Source organism: Homo sapiens, chromosome 9 (assembly GCF_000001405.40).
Source record: "Homo sapiens chromosome 9, GRCh38.p14 Primary Assembly".
Lineage (NCBI taxonomy): Eukaryota > Metazoa > Chordata > Mammalia > Primates > Hominidae > Homo > Homo sapiens.
The window spans coordinates 97251223-97268386 of record NC_000009.12 but is presented as its reverse complement, the minus strand read 5'-3'; the positions used below and the strand labels follow the sequence as shown (position 1 = coordinate 97268386).

The 17164-nt window shown below is 37.0% G+C and overlaps 1 long non-coding RNA gene and 1 pseudogene across 4 annotated transcripts in view; both read right to left on the bottom strand.

Moving 5' to 3' along the window:
- SUGT1P4-STRA6LP-CCDC180 (SUGT1P4-STRA6LP-CCDC180 readthrough) overlaps positions 1–17164 on the bottom strand; it is a 138870-nt gene that overhangs the window by 108909 nt on the left and 12797 nt on the right. For all 3 annotated transcript variants that reach the window (NR_036528.1, NR_036527.1, NR_036529.1), the window contains exon 4: positions 16830–16846. This is a non-coding gene — a long non-coding RNA (SUGT1P4-STRA6LP-CCDC180 readthrough). The remainder of the gene's footprint in view (positions 1–16829; positions 16847–17164) is intronic.
- The window catches only part of SUGT1P4-STRA6LP (SUGT1P4-STRA6LP readthrough), a 58889-nt pseudogene that overhangs the window by 28928 nt on the left and 12797 nt on the right, over positions 1–17164 (bottom strand). Inside the window, exon 4 of the transcript NR_036526.1 lies at positions 16830–16846. The product of NR_036526.1 is annotated as an SUGT1P4-STRA6LP readthrough (transcript). The remainder of the gene's footprint in view (positions 1–16829; positions 16847–17164) is intronic.

Sequence of the window (17164 nt, the reverse complement as noted above, 5' to 3'; positions counted from 1 at the left end):
ACCGAGCCGAGATCACACCACTGCACTCCAGCCTGGGTGACTATACATACACATACACATACACACACACACACACACACACACACACACACACACACACACCAAGTACTATTCAGCCAGGCTGGTCTCGAACTCCTGACCTCAAGTGATTGGCCTGCGTTGGCCTCCCAAAGTGCTGGGATTACAGGAGTGAGCCACCACGCCCAGCCCTCTTTTCTTTATGAATTACCCAGTGTCAGGTATTCCTTTATAGCAAGGCAAGAACTAACACAATCTCATAGGACAAAATAAATACCCATAAATCCATATGGATATAAATAAATAATTCATAAATAAATGTATGAGAAGAGACACTTCTTCCTTACAAAATTCCAATTAATCAATGTAGAAGGAATGAGTAAAATACAAAATCCCCACTTGAATACCACATTAGTAACTGTTGACAAGATCCACCAACGAAAGCGAAAATCAGCAGCCAAAAGTTTGAGAAGAAACAGGATGCTACCACAGTCTCAAAGCATCTCTCCAAGATGTTTATCATTTACAGAGGGAGAAAAGAAACCTGGGAGATGCCACCTTAACCAAGTGATCGTGGTAAATATCACTAATAAGCCACGTTGGCATCCTGTACCCGATAGGAAATAACAAGAGCATTTCACCTTGTGATCTTCTTCCCCCAAACCCATCACCTTAGTCTAATCATGAGGAAAACATGGACAAACCCAAACTGAGGATCATTCTAAAAAACAGCTGACCAGTACTCATCAAGAGTCCATGAAAGACAAGGAAATATGGAGCAACTGTCACAGATTGGAGGAAACTGAGGGGACATAGAAACGAATACAACGTGGGATCTTAGATTATATCCTGGAACATTAAAAAGGCATGGTAGGGGATGGGAGGAGATGGTGAAAATCAAAGGGCTGTAGTTCAATTCATAGTATTGTATCAAAGTTAATTTCCTCATTTTGATTATTGAACTATAGTTACATAAGTTTTTAACAACAGGGAAGCAAAGTGGTAGATATATGTGAACTCTGTACTATTTCTGCAACTTTTCTGTCAGTCTAAAATTATTTCAGAAATAAAATAAATACACACGCATGCACAAAATAGTAACTATGAAGAGGTGATAATAGGCTAATTAGCTTGACTGTGATGATCATTTCACAATGCATGTGTATATCAACCATCAAATTGTACACCATATATAATTTTATGTCACTAAATCTGTTAAAATATATAAAAATAAATGAATTAATCAAATAAAAAATAAAATAACTTAAAAATAAGAATAAGCTCCATCTGAAGCACTACTTGCATAGGGCACACTAAAAACCACATTCTGCTGCTGCTGGCTGGAGGACTTGAATACCATTCAGAATTTTCCCTAACACTGTGCAGCTCTTCATCTAAAACCGTAACTACAAAATTGCTGGCAAGGTACTCTCCCTGGTCCTCAATTTTCCACACCTATAAAATGAAAGCATTAGGAAAACAGATATTTTTCTTTCTCAGTTTTGACATTCTATGCTTTGTGCTTCATAATTCCTGACTCTTCTTAGCTTGGCCTTCATTGCGAAGTGAGGCTAATAGCTTTGGTATAGAAGTGACCAGAGGTTACATATGCCAGTTTGGGGCTCAGTATGTCACCATATTAACCAAAGTCAGGCAATGTATGCAGCAGAGGTCATTGGGTTCTTAGTTTTCTTTTCTTTTTTTTCTTTTTGAGACACAGTCTCACTCTATCACCCAGACTGGAGTGCAGTGGCACAATCTTGGCTCACTGCAACCTCCGCCTCCCGGGTTCAAGCGATTCTCCTGCCTCAGCCTTCCAAGTAGCCGGGATTACAGGCATGCACCACCACGCCTGGCTAATTTTTGTATTTTTGGTAGAGACAGAGTTTCACCATTTAGCCAGGCTGGTCTTGAACTCCTGACCTCAGGTGATCTGCCTGCCTCAGCCTCCCAAAGTGCTGAGATTACAGGTGTGAGCCACTGTGCCTGGCCAGGTTCTTACGTTTCAATATCTCAGAAAGCTAATTAAAGATCTTAATCTCATTTAAATCTCTTGATTTTACACAGTAATAACAGCAAACACATGGTGAAATCTGGCCAACTTAACTCAGAAACTTCATTTTAGGATGATATTTCAAACTCCTTTCCCATCTAGGCATTTTTCAGTAGCCAGACATGTGGCACACCTGACTCCCTTCACCTCCCTCTTAGTGAAGGTTTAGGGATTAGAGATGTCCTCAAAGCCAGAACTCAGTGGCCTACATCACCAATCCCTGGATTACTACGATCTCACCTAGAGTCTAAAAGAACAATTCTCCTTATGCCCATTGTGACCCTGGAGAAATTACTTCTCTCCCCAGTTGTTGTTTCTCACTTAGCATCTCATTTTGAAAATCTTTGTTTCACTGTGGCCACTATGACATCTGCTCCACTGAGCTTTCTGGCTTTAATTTTTTCCCCTTCAATCAGTTCCAAAGAGCCCTACTGAAGTAGCACCAGAAACTTGCATTGGTATTCCACTCTTTAAACTCTAATGATTTCTCATTTAAATATTAATTACCACTCCAACATTCCTGCATTTGTGGTCATCTTGTCAGCATATCTCACTGACCTAAATGAAGAAATTCTTGTTCCTTTTACTCCAGATTATCCATATAATTCTTCTTAAAGCCATTCTTGGGATATACTGAGGAAAGTACCTCAATTTTGGAGTCTGCTGATCTAGGGTTTAAGTGTTGACTGCACCACTTACTTCGCAAATTTCAGAAAGGTATTAAATTCCTATAAATGCGAATGTCTACTTTATAAGGTGTTTCAAAAATTCAATGATAATGTATGTGATATTCACACCACAGGGTCAGTCTGTCAAGCAGTACCCTGTCACTGGTGGCTAAGAAGATGAAGATAAGTACCCATGGGATTCCATGAACAGAGCAGTCATCTCTACTGACCTCAGCCACAAAACACCAGCCCTTCCAGCTTCCCTGGATCCTTTGCTAACTGTGCCTTTTTCTGGGATAGTATGTGGTTCTCTATTTGGCTTGAGAACAGAACACTCCTTCAAATGGTTGAAGTATCTTCATTATATACATGGTCTGCGCTTTATCACACTAATTTTTTTTTCGAGGCAAGTTCTCACTCTGTCGTCCAGGCTGGAGTGCAGTGGCATGATCACAGATCACTGCAGCCTTGAACTCATGGGGTCAAGTGATCCTACTGCCTCAGCCTCCTGAGTAGCTGGGACTATAGGCACACACCACCAGGTCTGGCTAATTTTTTATTGTTATTATTTTTTTTTAGAGATGGGGTCTCACTATGTTGCCCAGGTTGGTCTCAAACTCCTGGGCTCAAGCGATCCTCCCACCTTGGCCTCTCAATGTGTTGGGATTACAGATGTAAGCTGCCTTGACCAGCCCTAAATTTTTTTTCTTATGGTAAAATACACAAAAATGTACCATCTTAACCATGTTTAATTGTGCAACTCTGTGGTGTGAAGTACATTCACATTGTTATGTAGCCATCGCAACTATCCATACCCTGAACTTTTAAAAGAATCATCCCAAACAGAAAGTCTATACCAATTAAACACTAATTCTCTATTCTTCCCTATCCCCAGCCCCTGGAAACTACTTTCTCTCTCTACGAATTTGCCTATTCTAGCTACCTCACATGAGTGGAATCATGTATTTGTCCTTCCGTGACCTGCTTATTTCACTTAGTATAATGTCCTCAAGGTTCATCTATGTTGTAGCATATGTAAGAATTGCACTTTTTTTAAGGCTGAATCATATTCCATTGTACATATATACGTCATGTTGTTTATCCATTCATCCATGGATGAACATTTGGGTTCCTTCCACATTTTGGCTATTGTGACTTTATCCTGTTTTATATTCTGCAGCAATTTACATCTTTATTTTCAGAACTATTAAGTTTCTTCATATTAACAGTCATAGGAAAAGAGCAATGAAAGACTTTTATTTGATTTCATTTTGTGGCCATTCCTTTTTTTTTTTTTTTTTTGGCAGCCACGAAGACTGGGATTTCTAATTCTATGTTATGATAAGTAGACAATTTAAGCCATCTATCTTTTTTTCTGTTTCCTTTTTAAAAAAAAAGAAAATAGCATTTTTCTAAAATATGATCATGTCAGTTTGGTCTATTTTTATACGTGTTAAGGAGAGCACTAACAGACAAAAGAATAACAATATAGCGATTAGGTATTTAGTTTTAAAAAAAAAAAAAAAAAAGGTTGACGATGGGGCAATAGATAGCCTGCCTCTTCTCTAACCAAGTTGTGAACTGTTTAAGAAATTGACAATAAAGAGTATGGCATATGGAGACCAGAACATTCCTTTTATTATAAACAAAGTTGATTTGGGAGAATGCAGCTTATCTCTACTTGCAGGCAGATGGCCATCTTAATTCTATACCTCAGAATTAAACAGGTCTCCCAGCCACTCATAGACAGGTCTCCAGGAAAGAAGGAAAAATTATCAACTGACAAACAGTCTGATTAAATGCTTGTCTTTTATACCTGCTATGGTTTGAATGTGCCTCCTCCAAAACTAATTGTTGCTAATGTGATAGTATTAAGAGGTGGGGCCTTTAAAAGGTGATTAGGCCACGAGGGCTCCTATCTTGTGAATGGGATTAGGTGCCCTTATAAAAGGGCTTGAAAGAGGGAGTTCATCCCTTTTTGTTCTTCTGCCTTCTGTTATATGAGGACACAGCATTCTTCCCCAACTCCTCAAGGATGCAACAGTCAAGGCCCCATCTTGGAAGCAGAGAGACTAGACCCTCACCAGATAAATGAACCTGCCAGTGCCTTCATCTTGGACTTCCTAACTTCCAGGACTGTGAGGAAACAAATTCCTTTTCTTTATAAATTACCCAGTCTGTGGTATTCTGTTATAGCAACTCAAAACAGACTAACACAATGCCCTCAACCCACTTCTCTGCCTTGGTACCCATCATATTGTGTAGCAATGAATCTTGGCCTGTCTCTTTCCTATGAGCATGTTGCTTTCATCCATTCTTCCACCAACTCAACTGCTTTTATGAGTGCCTGTTTTGGGCCTAGCAATACACTAGGTCTTGCATTCAAGACCTGACAGAGGTGACAGAAACTGACATGACACCTACCCTTAAGGAGAGCAGAACAGAAAATATCGCAAAGGAGACAGAGTGTGGCGCTAGACAGTAAGAAGGGCAGAGTGACTTAACAAAGTGGGAGAAGGCTTTTCTTGGGAAGTCACATTTTTTATGATGCCTCAAGTTCAAGGAGCACTTCACCAGTATATTATACTCTGGTGTCCAGTAGAGGCGTACAGCACGTAGCAGAGCTCAATAAATGCTTAACAAATTAATGAATCAGTGATATATGTGAAAGCACTTTATACGCAGTCAAAGTACCACACAGATGTTAATCATTATCATTTAGTTAATATGGAGAGACCCACTTTTATTCAGCTTCTCTGAAACACCCAAAAAGATACATGGCAGTGTCTGGAGACATTGTGAGTTGCCACAACTGGAGTTGAAGGGAGATGTGGTAATGAAGTCTAGTGAGTAGAGACCACAGTTGCTACTAAACATCCTACAATATACAGGGCAATCCCCCAAAATGTCAATAATGCCACTATTAAGAAATCCGATTCTAAAACAATTACTGTGTTTACATGTGCATTCACCTGTTTTACAGTGGAGAAACGTTTCACTGTATAAACATAATACAACTAATGCTAACATTTTTGCATTCATTCATTCAACAAATAATTACTAAACACCTAGTATAAGATGGTATAGTCCTCAAGACGGTGGGGATTTTTATTTTATTTGTAGAGAAAGGGGCTTGCTCTGTCTCCCAGGCTGGAGTGCAGTGGAAGGATCACAGCTCTCTGCAGCGTTGAACTTCTGGGCTCAAGTGATTCTCCGGTCTCAGCTTCCCGAGTAGCTGGGACTATAGACATATGCCACCACTCCTAGCTAATATTTTTTTATTTTTTATAGAGACGGGGTCTCACTATGTTGCCCACACTGGTCTGAAACTCCTGGCCTCAAGCCATTCTCCCACCTCGGCCTCCCAAAGTGCTAGGATTATAGGCATGAGCCACCACACCTGGCTGGATTTTTAAAATATTAAAGACACATCTTCGACCATTTGGAAGTATGTGAGATACTTTAAGAAAGTTACTAAAGTTCTAAATAAATAAATGTGCTAAAAGCTCAGGAGAGACCACACCTGACTGTGAAGAGGAAAGGCTTTATACACCCTGAAGGGCTTTGGAGGGCAAAAGCATTTGCAAGAGGCACAGGGAATGGCCTAACTGGAGCACTGGGGTATGCAAGGACACCACATAGGGGAGTATGGAGAAGACCAATTTGCATCAAGTTCAGGACTTGACTTGAAAAAAAATCAGAGCAGTGAAAAATACGATAAAAAAAGAAGCAGAGTCGGGCGCAGTGGCTCACACCTGTAACCCCAGCACTTTGGGAGGCCGAGGTGGGCAGATCACCTGAGGTCAGGAGTTTGAGACCAGCCTGACCATCATAGAGAAACCCTGTCTCTACTAAAAATACAAAATTACCTGGGCATAGTGGTGCATGCCTGTAATCCCAGCTACTCAGGAGGCTGAGACCTGGGAGGCGGAGGTTGCAGTGAGCCAAGATCGCACCACTGCACTCCAGCCTGGGCAACAAGAGCAAAACTCCGTCTCAGAAAAAAAAAAAAAGAAAGAAAGAAAAAGAAAAAGAAGCAGAAGGCAGACTGTTAAGAACTTCTGAATGCTAGACTAAGTTCACTTATTAAAATGAAAAATTAATAGTATCCTAATAGCATCTTTTACTCTCTAATCAAGGCTAGTCCCCTGAGTCTATCCTTACCCCTAAACACACACTCACATAGTATTTATATCTACCTTTTGTTTTCTTTATTCAAATAATGCTCTCACCTCTATTTTTAACTGGCTAAAATCAGCATTTTTAACGCAAATATTAAAGTAAGCACCATAACATTATATAAAACAGTTTAAATGAAGAATTGAGTTAGAATGTTATATTCTAACTTTTTTCTATGAAAAGGATCATTACTTTTGCAAACAGAATTAAAAAATCAAAAGGCAAACTTAACAAAAAGAGAAGCCCATTCACCACTAGGTTCTTTGACTTCTTTTTATCAGATGACTCATTTAAACTAGCAATTCCTAGTAATCTTTATACCATCTACTTTTAGCAAAAAGACCTTCAAAATTTGCACCTAAAATACCCTAACAAAGTGCTAACATAGGGAAAGTTGCCAACATTTTTAATCAGACATCAAGTGATGGTATGTGTATGTGGGGTATGTGGTCTCAAGTGTTTATTTTTATTTTCTTTAGGAGCAAAGAAATGTAATAAACAACTGTTTTCATAACAAGAAAAATATAAAACCATGTCACTGGGATAAGGGCAGAGTATAGTATCTTTAGTGTAATTTACATGTTTAAACTCTACATACATAAAAACAAATATTTCATAAGAATCTCTAGAATTCCCTAAAGTAAACTATGATTTTTTTTTGAGACAGAGTCTCTGTCACCCAGGCTGGAGTGCAGTGGTGTGATCTTGGCTCACTGCAACCTCTGCCTCCCGGGTTCAAGTGATTCTCCTGTCTCAGCCTCCCAAGTAGCTAGGATTACCAGCGTGAGCCACTGCGCCCAGCTAGTTTTTCTATAAAGTAATATACCATCAATAATTTCTCATACACAGGATTAAGTGATAGTACTCTGGTTACTTTAAGGCTGGGATATTTATCAAAAGGAGACAGAAATTCAGTAGCTGGCAATGACACAGCAACAGTTACTGAAAAGAACTGTTAATATTATCTGAAAGATTAAAACTGCATCTTGCACCTTTAATTTTCAACTCATCTGAAAAATGAGGGCCTGGAAAGTACTGTGTTCATCAACACACTAAACTTGGCCACAGGGCACCCTATATTCACACTTCATGTTCCTGTAACTATGTACACATCATCTATAAAAAGTTCCTTGTTTCACCTGAAAAGCAGCACAGACTAGTATTCACATCTACTGACAGCCATCATAACCTGAGTAAGTGTGCAGCATAAACAAAGAGGCCTTTATAAAGCCAAAGGAAAAGCTCTTAGTAACGACCCGTTTCAGCTGAGACAAGCTGATCTCCACTTTTGAAATTATACTTAATCATTCACCAAAATAGCTGCATGTAATAAAGCACTTAAAGCATCTTTTTTAGAAAGGTAAAGGGGGCTGGGTGCAGTGGCTCACGCTTGTAATCCTGGCACTTTGGGAAGCTGAAGTGGAAGGATCACTTGAGCCCAGGTAGTTGAGACTGCAGTGAGCCATGATAGTGCCACTGGACTCCAGCATAGGCAACAGAGTAAGACCCTGTCTCCCCCAGCAAAGGAAAAGAAGGGAGGCGCTAATTTTCTATGAATTCCTTTTTACACTTAATTCACTTTCAATGCTTGCACTTTCAAATGTTTCAATGTTTTTAAAAATGAAGTTTTAAGTCTTGATTCTGGGAGATAGTTCTAGAACTAGCACTAGTCCAATTTCAGAGGTTTTTATTGCAACCATTAAGAAACCATTCCATTTTCATTTAAGTCAAAAATACTTTAAAAGTTAACTTAAAACTTTGGTAGTTTGCTTGAATGTTGCTCTCATATGTACCGGGAAAGTTCTCGAGGTGTTAATATCCCAAAAGAGTATTCACGGGTTATCAATAAGAATCCCTACTGTGCTGGATCATTAGTTCTCAACATTATACGTATTACCATCCATCCACCTCTAAAGTCTCCTCTGCATAGCACAGAGTTTAATTTTTTCCAATGAAAGAAACTTCAAAATTAAAGAGATGTCATTACTCTTACACAATCATGATATCCAGACACCACCATCTTAAGTGGGAAGATTCCACTTACCACTACTGACTAACATGAAGAGATCTTTCCCAGAGACTAAAGAGCTGGGGCAATTTATTGGCAAACTTTTGAGAAACATATACTTCAAGACTGTACTCATTAAATAATTGTTCCCCGATCTTCAGAATGCAACCTTCCCAACATACTCTTACTGAGCTCTTTGCACGTTTCATTGTTACATCAAATTCCTTTGTCTGATAATAGCTCAGTCTTCCTGAGCTCAAACTAGTACATCTACCTTCTTTGTTTTTAAACTAAAATCTTTTTATAATCATTTTTTAAATGCAAAAAATGGCAACGAATGGCGAAGACCTGAAAAGTCTTCTCTCAAGCTTCTAACAGCTCATTTCAAATATTTGCTGAGTACCCACTCTGAGCTAGAAACAGTGCTGGTACATGAGGACACAGCCTCTTTTCTTCTTAAAGTAGTTAATCAGAAGAGACATTCCCATAAGTAAAAAGATTCCAGTACGTGTCATGTGTAGTGATCGACCTATGTATCAGGAAATAATGAGTTATCCCGAGGGAAACAGGCTAAAATGTCATCAGTCGTGAGTCTGAGTGATTACTTCCTAAGCTCCTTTATCTTTTCCAGATTTTCTGTGATATGTTATAATATGCATTTACTGCTTTTACAGCCTGAATAAAAATCTAAATAACCAAAATAAAATAATAGAAATAGTACTAGTAACATTTATTGACTTTTATATAATACCCTGTGTGCTACATGCTTCACACATGCATTATCTCACTTAATAAAATCACCCTATTAAAAAAAAAAGACTGTTATCCATATTTCAGAGAGGAGGAAGACAAAATATGAAATAATTTGCTGGAAATGTCTTTTTCAGCTAGAATTTTTACTTATTTCCTCAGAAATAAGCAGGGGTTGGGACAAAAACAATCAGTTGTGTAAACAGAAAAACTTGGAAATAGGTGCCATTTGTTGGATGTATAACCATAAGCAAGCAACTTAATCTCAGCGAGCCTCAGTTTCTCCTATTGTATTGTATTGCAAATGACTTAGTAGGCCCTAACTTATTTAGGTTCTCAAGAATAACTCATTCAGGGTTCTCAAGAATAAATGATACTATGTATAAGAAAAATGAAGAACCCTGTCTGGCAAATAACTGACAACAGAATGCTAGTTATCAGTATCTTCATCAGTATAATCCGAAAAACCTGGACAAATTATTTAACATCTCTGAGCTCAGTTTCTCTACCTGTAAACTGGGGATAAAAATACCTACACCATGCAGTAACTATGAGAATTACATGAGATAATACACAGTACAGTGCCTGCAATGTGGTAAAACAGTCAAAACAGCTATTATAATTATCCACAGGACAAACAAAATGGAGCTGGCTAAATAAGGTACAGTACATGCATACGATGAAATACTTTGCTGTTGAATATGTAAGGACATGATAAAAATATTGACAATGTATAGCTGTTTAAAAATTATGTAGAGTAAAAGTATTCTTTAAAAATATATAAATATATGTTACAAAATATATCAAAAGTAACAAGAATACATTCTAAGATCTATGATTTGTGGATTCTTAACTAACTCAATTAAAAAAATTAAACAATTCTCACTATTATCACCACCACTATATGAAGCAAGATGTTAAAACAACAATTTTTAAAATTCCCATATATATGTATTCAGACAAGCAGGAGCATCATGCCCAGATACCCCATTCCATTACATTATCACTAGGATTCTTTAACATACATATATTCTTCTCTGAACATTAAAAAAAGGGATTACTTTAAAACTTCACAAATTTTAGTAAAAGAAAAGGAGGCTATTTTGCTTCTAAGACATACATTTTTAATTCCCACAATTCCAGGCTTTCACATTTTGTATTGTTTAATACAGAAAAATTATTCTGACTAAAAATAGGAATAAAACAACATTTCCACAAGGGCAAATTCACCCCAAAAGACTGAGAATTCTAATTCTTAAAGGGAATAAAAATTAATGTCAGGTGTGGTGGCTCATGCCTGTAATCCCAGCATTTTGGGAGGCTGAGGCGGGCAGATCATGAGGTCAGGAGTTCGAGACCAGCCTGCCCGTCTCTACTAAAAATACAAAAAATTAGCCGGGCATGGTGGTGTGTACCTTAGTCCCAGCTACTCAGGAGGCTAAGGCAAGAGAATTGCTTGAACCCAGCAGGCGGAGGTTGCAGTGAGTCGAGATCATGCTGCCACTGCACTCCACCTGGGCAACAGAGCAAGACTCTATCTCAAAAAAATAAAACCTAATATTTAAAATGAATATTTCACAATATAGGTGACACTAAAGTCACAATTCTGAGACTGTGATCAGAGAAGAGTGTCATTAAATTAACAAGATGAAATAAAAAATTATAGTTTCTTAATTTCTAAAAAATTAATAGGCTAACATGAAAGGTGATATTCAGCGAAAGGTAGAAATAACTATCAGAGATACTGAAAAAACATGAATCCTGGCTTGGAAAAAACATATTAGATATTATATTGTAAAATAGTTAAGAAATGCTATTTCATTAATTTCAGGGTTTTACCTCTTTCTCTTCTTACTTTCATCGCAAATTATATATCATTCAAATTAATAACATTCAACCACCGACTGACTACACATGGACATGCAACATTCATTCAACCTTGAAGGTGGGAAAGAAAAGAGAATTCTCAAAAGCACAGAAATCACTCTTTTAAGCTGCAAATTTTACAGAAGCTCTAATACTAAGCAGATTCTCCCCAGCAAAATGCATCTTTTCTTAATTCACAAAGGTCCAAGATATCCAAACAGTGAAACACAATCAAGATATCTGAATATATGAAGAGCAAATTATTTTAGTACTGTTCTCTCTTAGTGTCCACAAAGTAAGCCTCAGATTTTATTTTCAGTATTCTAATACTGTCTCCCTCTACTGTATAAAAAAGGAAATTGAAAGATTTTTATCATTTATTTCCCTTAAGACATAATTAAGAAAACTTCTTTCAGTTTGTTTTCCCCCAAATAGTTTTTAGAGTTAGTAATCTAACAAGATTATGTTTGTGTGTGTGTGTATATATATATATAAAATATATATATAATATATATTATATTACATATATAATATATAATATATATAAAATATAATATATAAAAATATATAATATATATAAAATATAATATATAAAAATATATATTATATATAATAAATATATATAAAATATATAATATATAAATATATATTACATATAAAATATATATAATATATTATATATACAAAATATATATAATATATAATATATATAATATATTATATATAATATATTATATACATAAATATATACAATATACAATATACATAAATATATACAATATACAATATACATAAATATATACAATATACAATATACATAAATATATACAACATACATAAAATGTATATTGTATATACAACATACATAAAATGTATATTGTATATACAACATACATAAAATGTATATTGTATATACAACATATAATATACATAAAATGTATATTGTATATACAACATATAATATACATAAAATGTATATTATATATACAACATATAATATACATAAAATGTATATTATATATACAACATATAATATACATAAAATGTATATTATATATACAACATATAATATACATAAAATGTATATTATATATACAACATATAATATACATAAAATGTATATTATATATACAACATATAATATACATAAAATGTATATTATATATACAACATATAATATACATAAAATGTATATTATATATACAATATATAATATACATAAAATGTATATTATATATACAATATATAATATACATAAAATGTATATTATATATACAATATATAATATATATGTATAAAATATGGAGATTCCAGGGACAGGACAAGAAAAATAATCATCCTTTAGAACAAATCCTTAGAATCTAAGTTCTTCAATTCAAAACTTAGGAAAAAAACTAAGCAAAGGTGTACTAGTTTGCTTGGGAGTCAAGTGTATGTATGTCTCCTGGGCCAGGCTGAGCAATTTAGTTAACTAGGTAAACTTAGGGAAAGATTTAGAGTCCATTAACCTCAGATTTTTTTTTCACCTGCAAAACTAAGAATAAAAATACTCTGCCAGTACCACAGGACTAAAACTAGAACCCAATTTTGATTGATTCACTGAACTAAGCACCCACTGTGCAATACACATGGCAAGGGCTGCCAAGTTTAGCAAACAAAAATACAACACAGAACACACTTATATAATAAAAAATAGGCCAGGTGCAGTGGCTCACGCCCATAATCCCAACATATGGGAGGCCGAAGTGGGTGAATCACTTGAGGTCAGGAGTTCGAATCCAGCCTGGCCAACATAGTGAAACCCCCTCTCTACTAAAAATACAAAAATTAGCCATGTGTGGTGGCTCATGCCTGTAATCCCAGTTACTCAGGAGGCTGAGAAAGGAGAATCGCTTGAACCAGAGAGGCAGAGGTTGCAGTGAGCCGAAATTGGGCCACTGCACTCCAGCCTGGGTGACAGAGTGAGACTCTGTCTCAAATAAATAAATAAATAATTCATTGTTCATCAGAAATACAAACTTAATTGAGCATGCTGTACTTTATCTGGGAACCCTAACTGAGGCACATACAAACATGCAAATAAGACACGCTTCTTAACCTCAAAGACTTACATAGGAATGAGGGATATGAAATGTATTCATAAACTACTATACAAGGAAGAAAAGTAGTTGCTTAGCATTTAAAGAAGAAAGGGGAAGAAAGGCAAACTGAGAACATAGTAAGTAGGACTGAAGAATGGTTAAAATAAACAAATGCAAGATTCAAAACAGAAAAAAGAATGAGAGATGAGAGTGCTTAATTACATCCTCAACTCTAGCCACACAGATCTGTGTATTTACCACACATGCTATTCTTCCACCAGTGTATGAGATGGCTCAGTAATGCAAGCTCATTATCATTTATTCACACTCAATTTAAATTACTTCAAATGGACACGCATTACCAATCTCTTGATAGACATACACCAAAAAAATCAAATTCATAATTTTTGGAAATATCTCCCTTTCAAATCTACCTAGAGTTTTGTGCTTGGTTACTCAAAATTATTTTATTAAACAAATTCTACACCATGTGGATATGACCAGAAACAGACCAAAATCCTGATAAGGGCCGGGCATGGTGGCTCACGTCTGTAATCTCAGCACTTTTGGAGGCTGAAGTGGGTGGATCACCTGAGGTCAGGAATTCGAGACCAGGCTGGCCAACATGGTGAAACCCCCGTTTCTACTAAAAATACAAAAATTAGCCAGGCATGGTGGCGTGTGCCTATAACCCTAGCTACTCAGGAGGCTGAGGCGGGAGAATTGCTTGAACCCAGGAGGTGGAGGTTGCAGTGATCTGAGATCATGCCGCTGCACTCCAGCCTGGGCAACAAGAGCGAAACTCTGTCTCCAAAAAAAAAACTTGGTAAGATTTCATCCCTTTTCTCACTTTCTATTGTCCCAAGCAGCTATTTCATAAATCTGCCTCATAATTAACCAGCTCTGTTCTTCACAATCTTTAAATAAATAAATAGGCAGATCCTTTTTAGCTAGATGCAAAAAAACTACTTCACTTTGCACTTCCTTCTCCAACCCTCTGAACCTGTCTCCTTTCTACAGGTCTAGTTACCATTCTTCATGACACAGGCCAACCCTGATCCTATTCCACGATAGGAAATTTCACATGTCCTTAGAACTTCAACTTAATAAATAGTAACAGTATGCTGCAGAACTTTGTATAAAAAAGGAGTAGTGGCCAGGCACTGTGGCCCACACCTGCAATCCCAGCACTTTGGGAGGCCAAGGCGGGTAGATCACTTAAGGTCAGAAGTTCGAGACCAGCTTGGCCAACAATGGTGAAATCCCATCTCTGTTAAAAATATAAAAATCAGCCGGGCATGGTGGCAGGCAACTGTAGTCCCAGCTACTCAGAAGGCCGAGGCAGGAGAATCACTTGAACCCAGGAGGCGGAGGTTGCGGTGAGCTGGGGTTGTACCACTGCACTCCAGCCGGGGCAACAGAGAGAGTCTCTGTCTCAAAAATTAATTAATTAATTAATTAAACATAAAAAAGGAGTAGTAATGGAAAAAGCCTACCTATATCATTTATTCGCCTGAACTCATTTATCATTATACCTTCATATAATTTTACAGCTGAAAGGACTCCAGAGCTCATTTGGTCCACGGACCTCCTTTCAAAGGTACTAAAAATTTAGTCATAGTCATTTTGTGCCTAGAGTAAATTCTCAGGGCTAGCAAAGATCCAGAGTCAGATTTCTTGATTTTCAGTTCAGTACTTTTCTTACTAAATTACACTATTATCTACATTTTTTTTTTAACTGAGGCAGAGTCTCACTCTGCCACCCAGGCTGGAGTGCAGTGGCGTGATCTCAGCTCACTGCAACCTCCATCTCCCAGGCTCAAGTGATTCTTCTGCTGCAGCCTCCAGAGTAGCGGGATTACAGGCGCATGCCAACACGACCAGCTAATTTTTGTATTTTTAGTAGAGATAGGGTTTCGCCATGTTGGCCAGGCTGGTGTATAACTCCTGACCTCAGGTGATCTGCCCAACTCGGCCTCCAAAAGTGGTGGTATTACAGGTGTGAGCCACCACGCCTGGTTATTATCTACATGCTTTGAGTGATAGTTAAATATTCTCCGAATATTAATTCTATTGTATAGCTTTATTTCTTTTTGAAAATATAAAGGAATCTAAAACTTAAACTGTAATTTTTCATTGTTCCCTCATAATGAAGTAACATAATATTTAGCTTAATTAAAAAACAAAACAAAACAAAAAAGCAGATTCATCTTTATGGTAGTTTGTCCTTTTTTTTTTTTTTTAGACGGAGTCTCACTCTGTCATCCAGACTGCAGTGCAGTGGCATGATTTTGGGTCACCGCAACCTCCACCTCCTGGGCTCCAGGGGTTCTCCCACCTCAGCTTCCTGAGTAGCTGGGATTACAGGCGCCTACCACCACACCTGGCTCATTTTTGTATTTTTAGTAGAGACAGGGTTTCACTATGTTGGTCAGGCTGGTCTTGAACTCCTGACCTCAACCGATCCACATGCCTTAGCCTCCCAAAGTGCTGGGATTACAGGCATAAAAATCTGCACTCAGCCTAAAAAGCTTTTTAAAGAAATAGAATATATTAGCGGGCTTGGTGGGGTGACATGCACCTGTAGTCCCAGCTACTTGGGAGGCTGAGGTAGGAAAACTACTTGAGCCCAGGAGTTTCAGGCTGCAGTGAGCTATGATGGCACCACTGCACTCCAGCCTGTGTAACAGAGCAAGACACTGTCTTTTAAAAAAAATAAAATTAAAAGTTACTTTTATTCAATTCCACCATAATTTTTAATAACTGAAAAGACTTGAAGGTCTTCATGCCCAAAACAATAAACATTACACTGAATTAAAGATAAACATTTCCAATTTTCCTTAACTTTTGTCTTAGCCTATCATAAAAAGCCCTACAAGTGATTCAAACTGTTGGACCTAAATAAATGTAATAAGGTTTTAGTAAGGAACAGATAAATAATCATTTTGACCATACTAAAACATACGAAATCGATTTTAACCACACGATAAATTCATTAAAATAGCCCAATAAATTTCATGACTAGAAACTTCCATATTTATGAAAAAATGGCTTTATTTCAGTTCCTAGAGGAACCAGTACTTAAATGGAATTGCTTAATATTTAGCTGACAGAGAGCTCATCCTGAGTCCTGTCTCAAATATATTGGGTACTTGAAATTTAACCTAAGTAAATAAAAACATGAAGAATGAAAACTCTGGACTTACCACCTCAGATTCCGAGCCTATTAAAACATAAAAAGGAAGAATTTTCAGTTAACAGTACATTTAAAGGCAAAGGTATTTATATGATTTTTATTGCACAAACATACTGATTAAGCAAGCCAATTCTCCATACCTTTCAACTAAAGAAAAGTGGGTTCATTTTGCCTCCTGAATTCATTTTAGACTCCTTAGTAATTTCTTTTTTTGAGACGGAGTCTCGTTCTGTTGCCCGGGCTGGAGTGCAGTGGTGTGATCTTGGCTCACTGCAACCTCCGCCTCCTGGGTTCAAGTGATTCTCCTGCCTCAGCCTCCCGAGTACCTGGGGCTACAGGCACGCA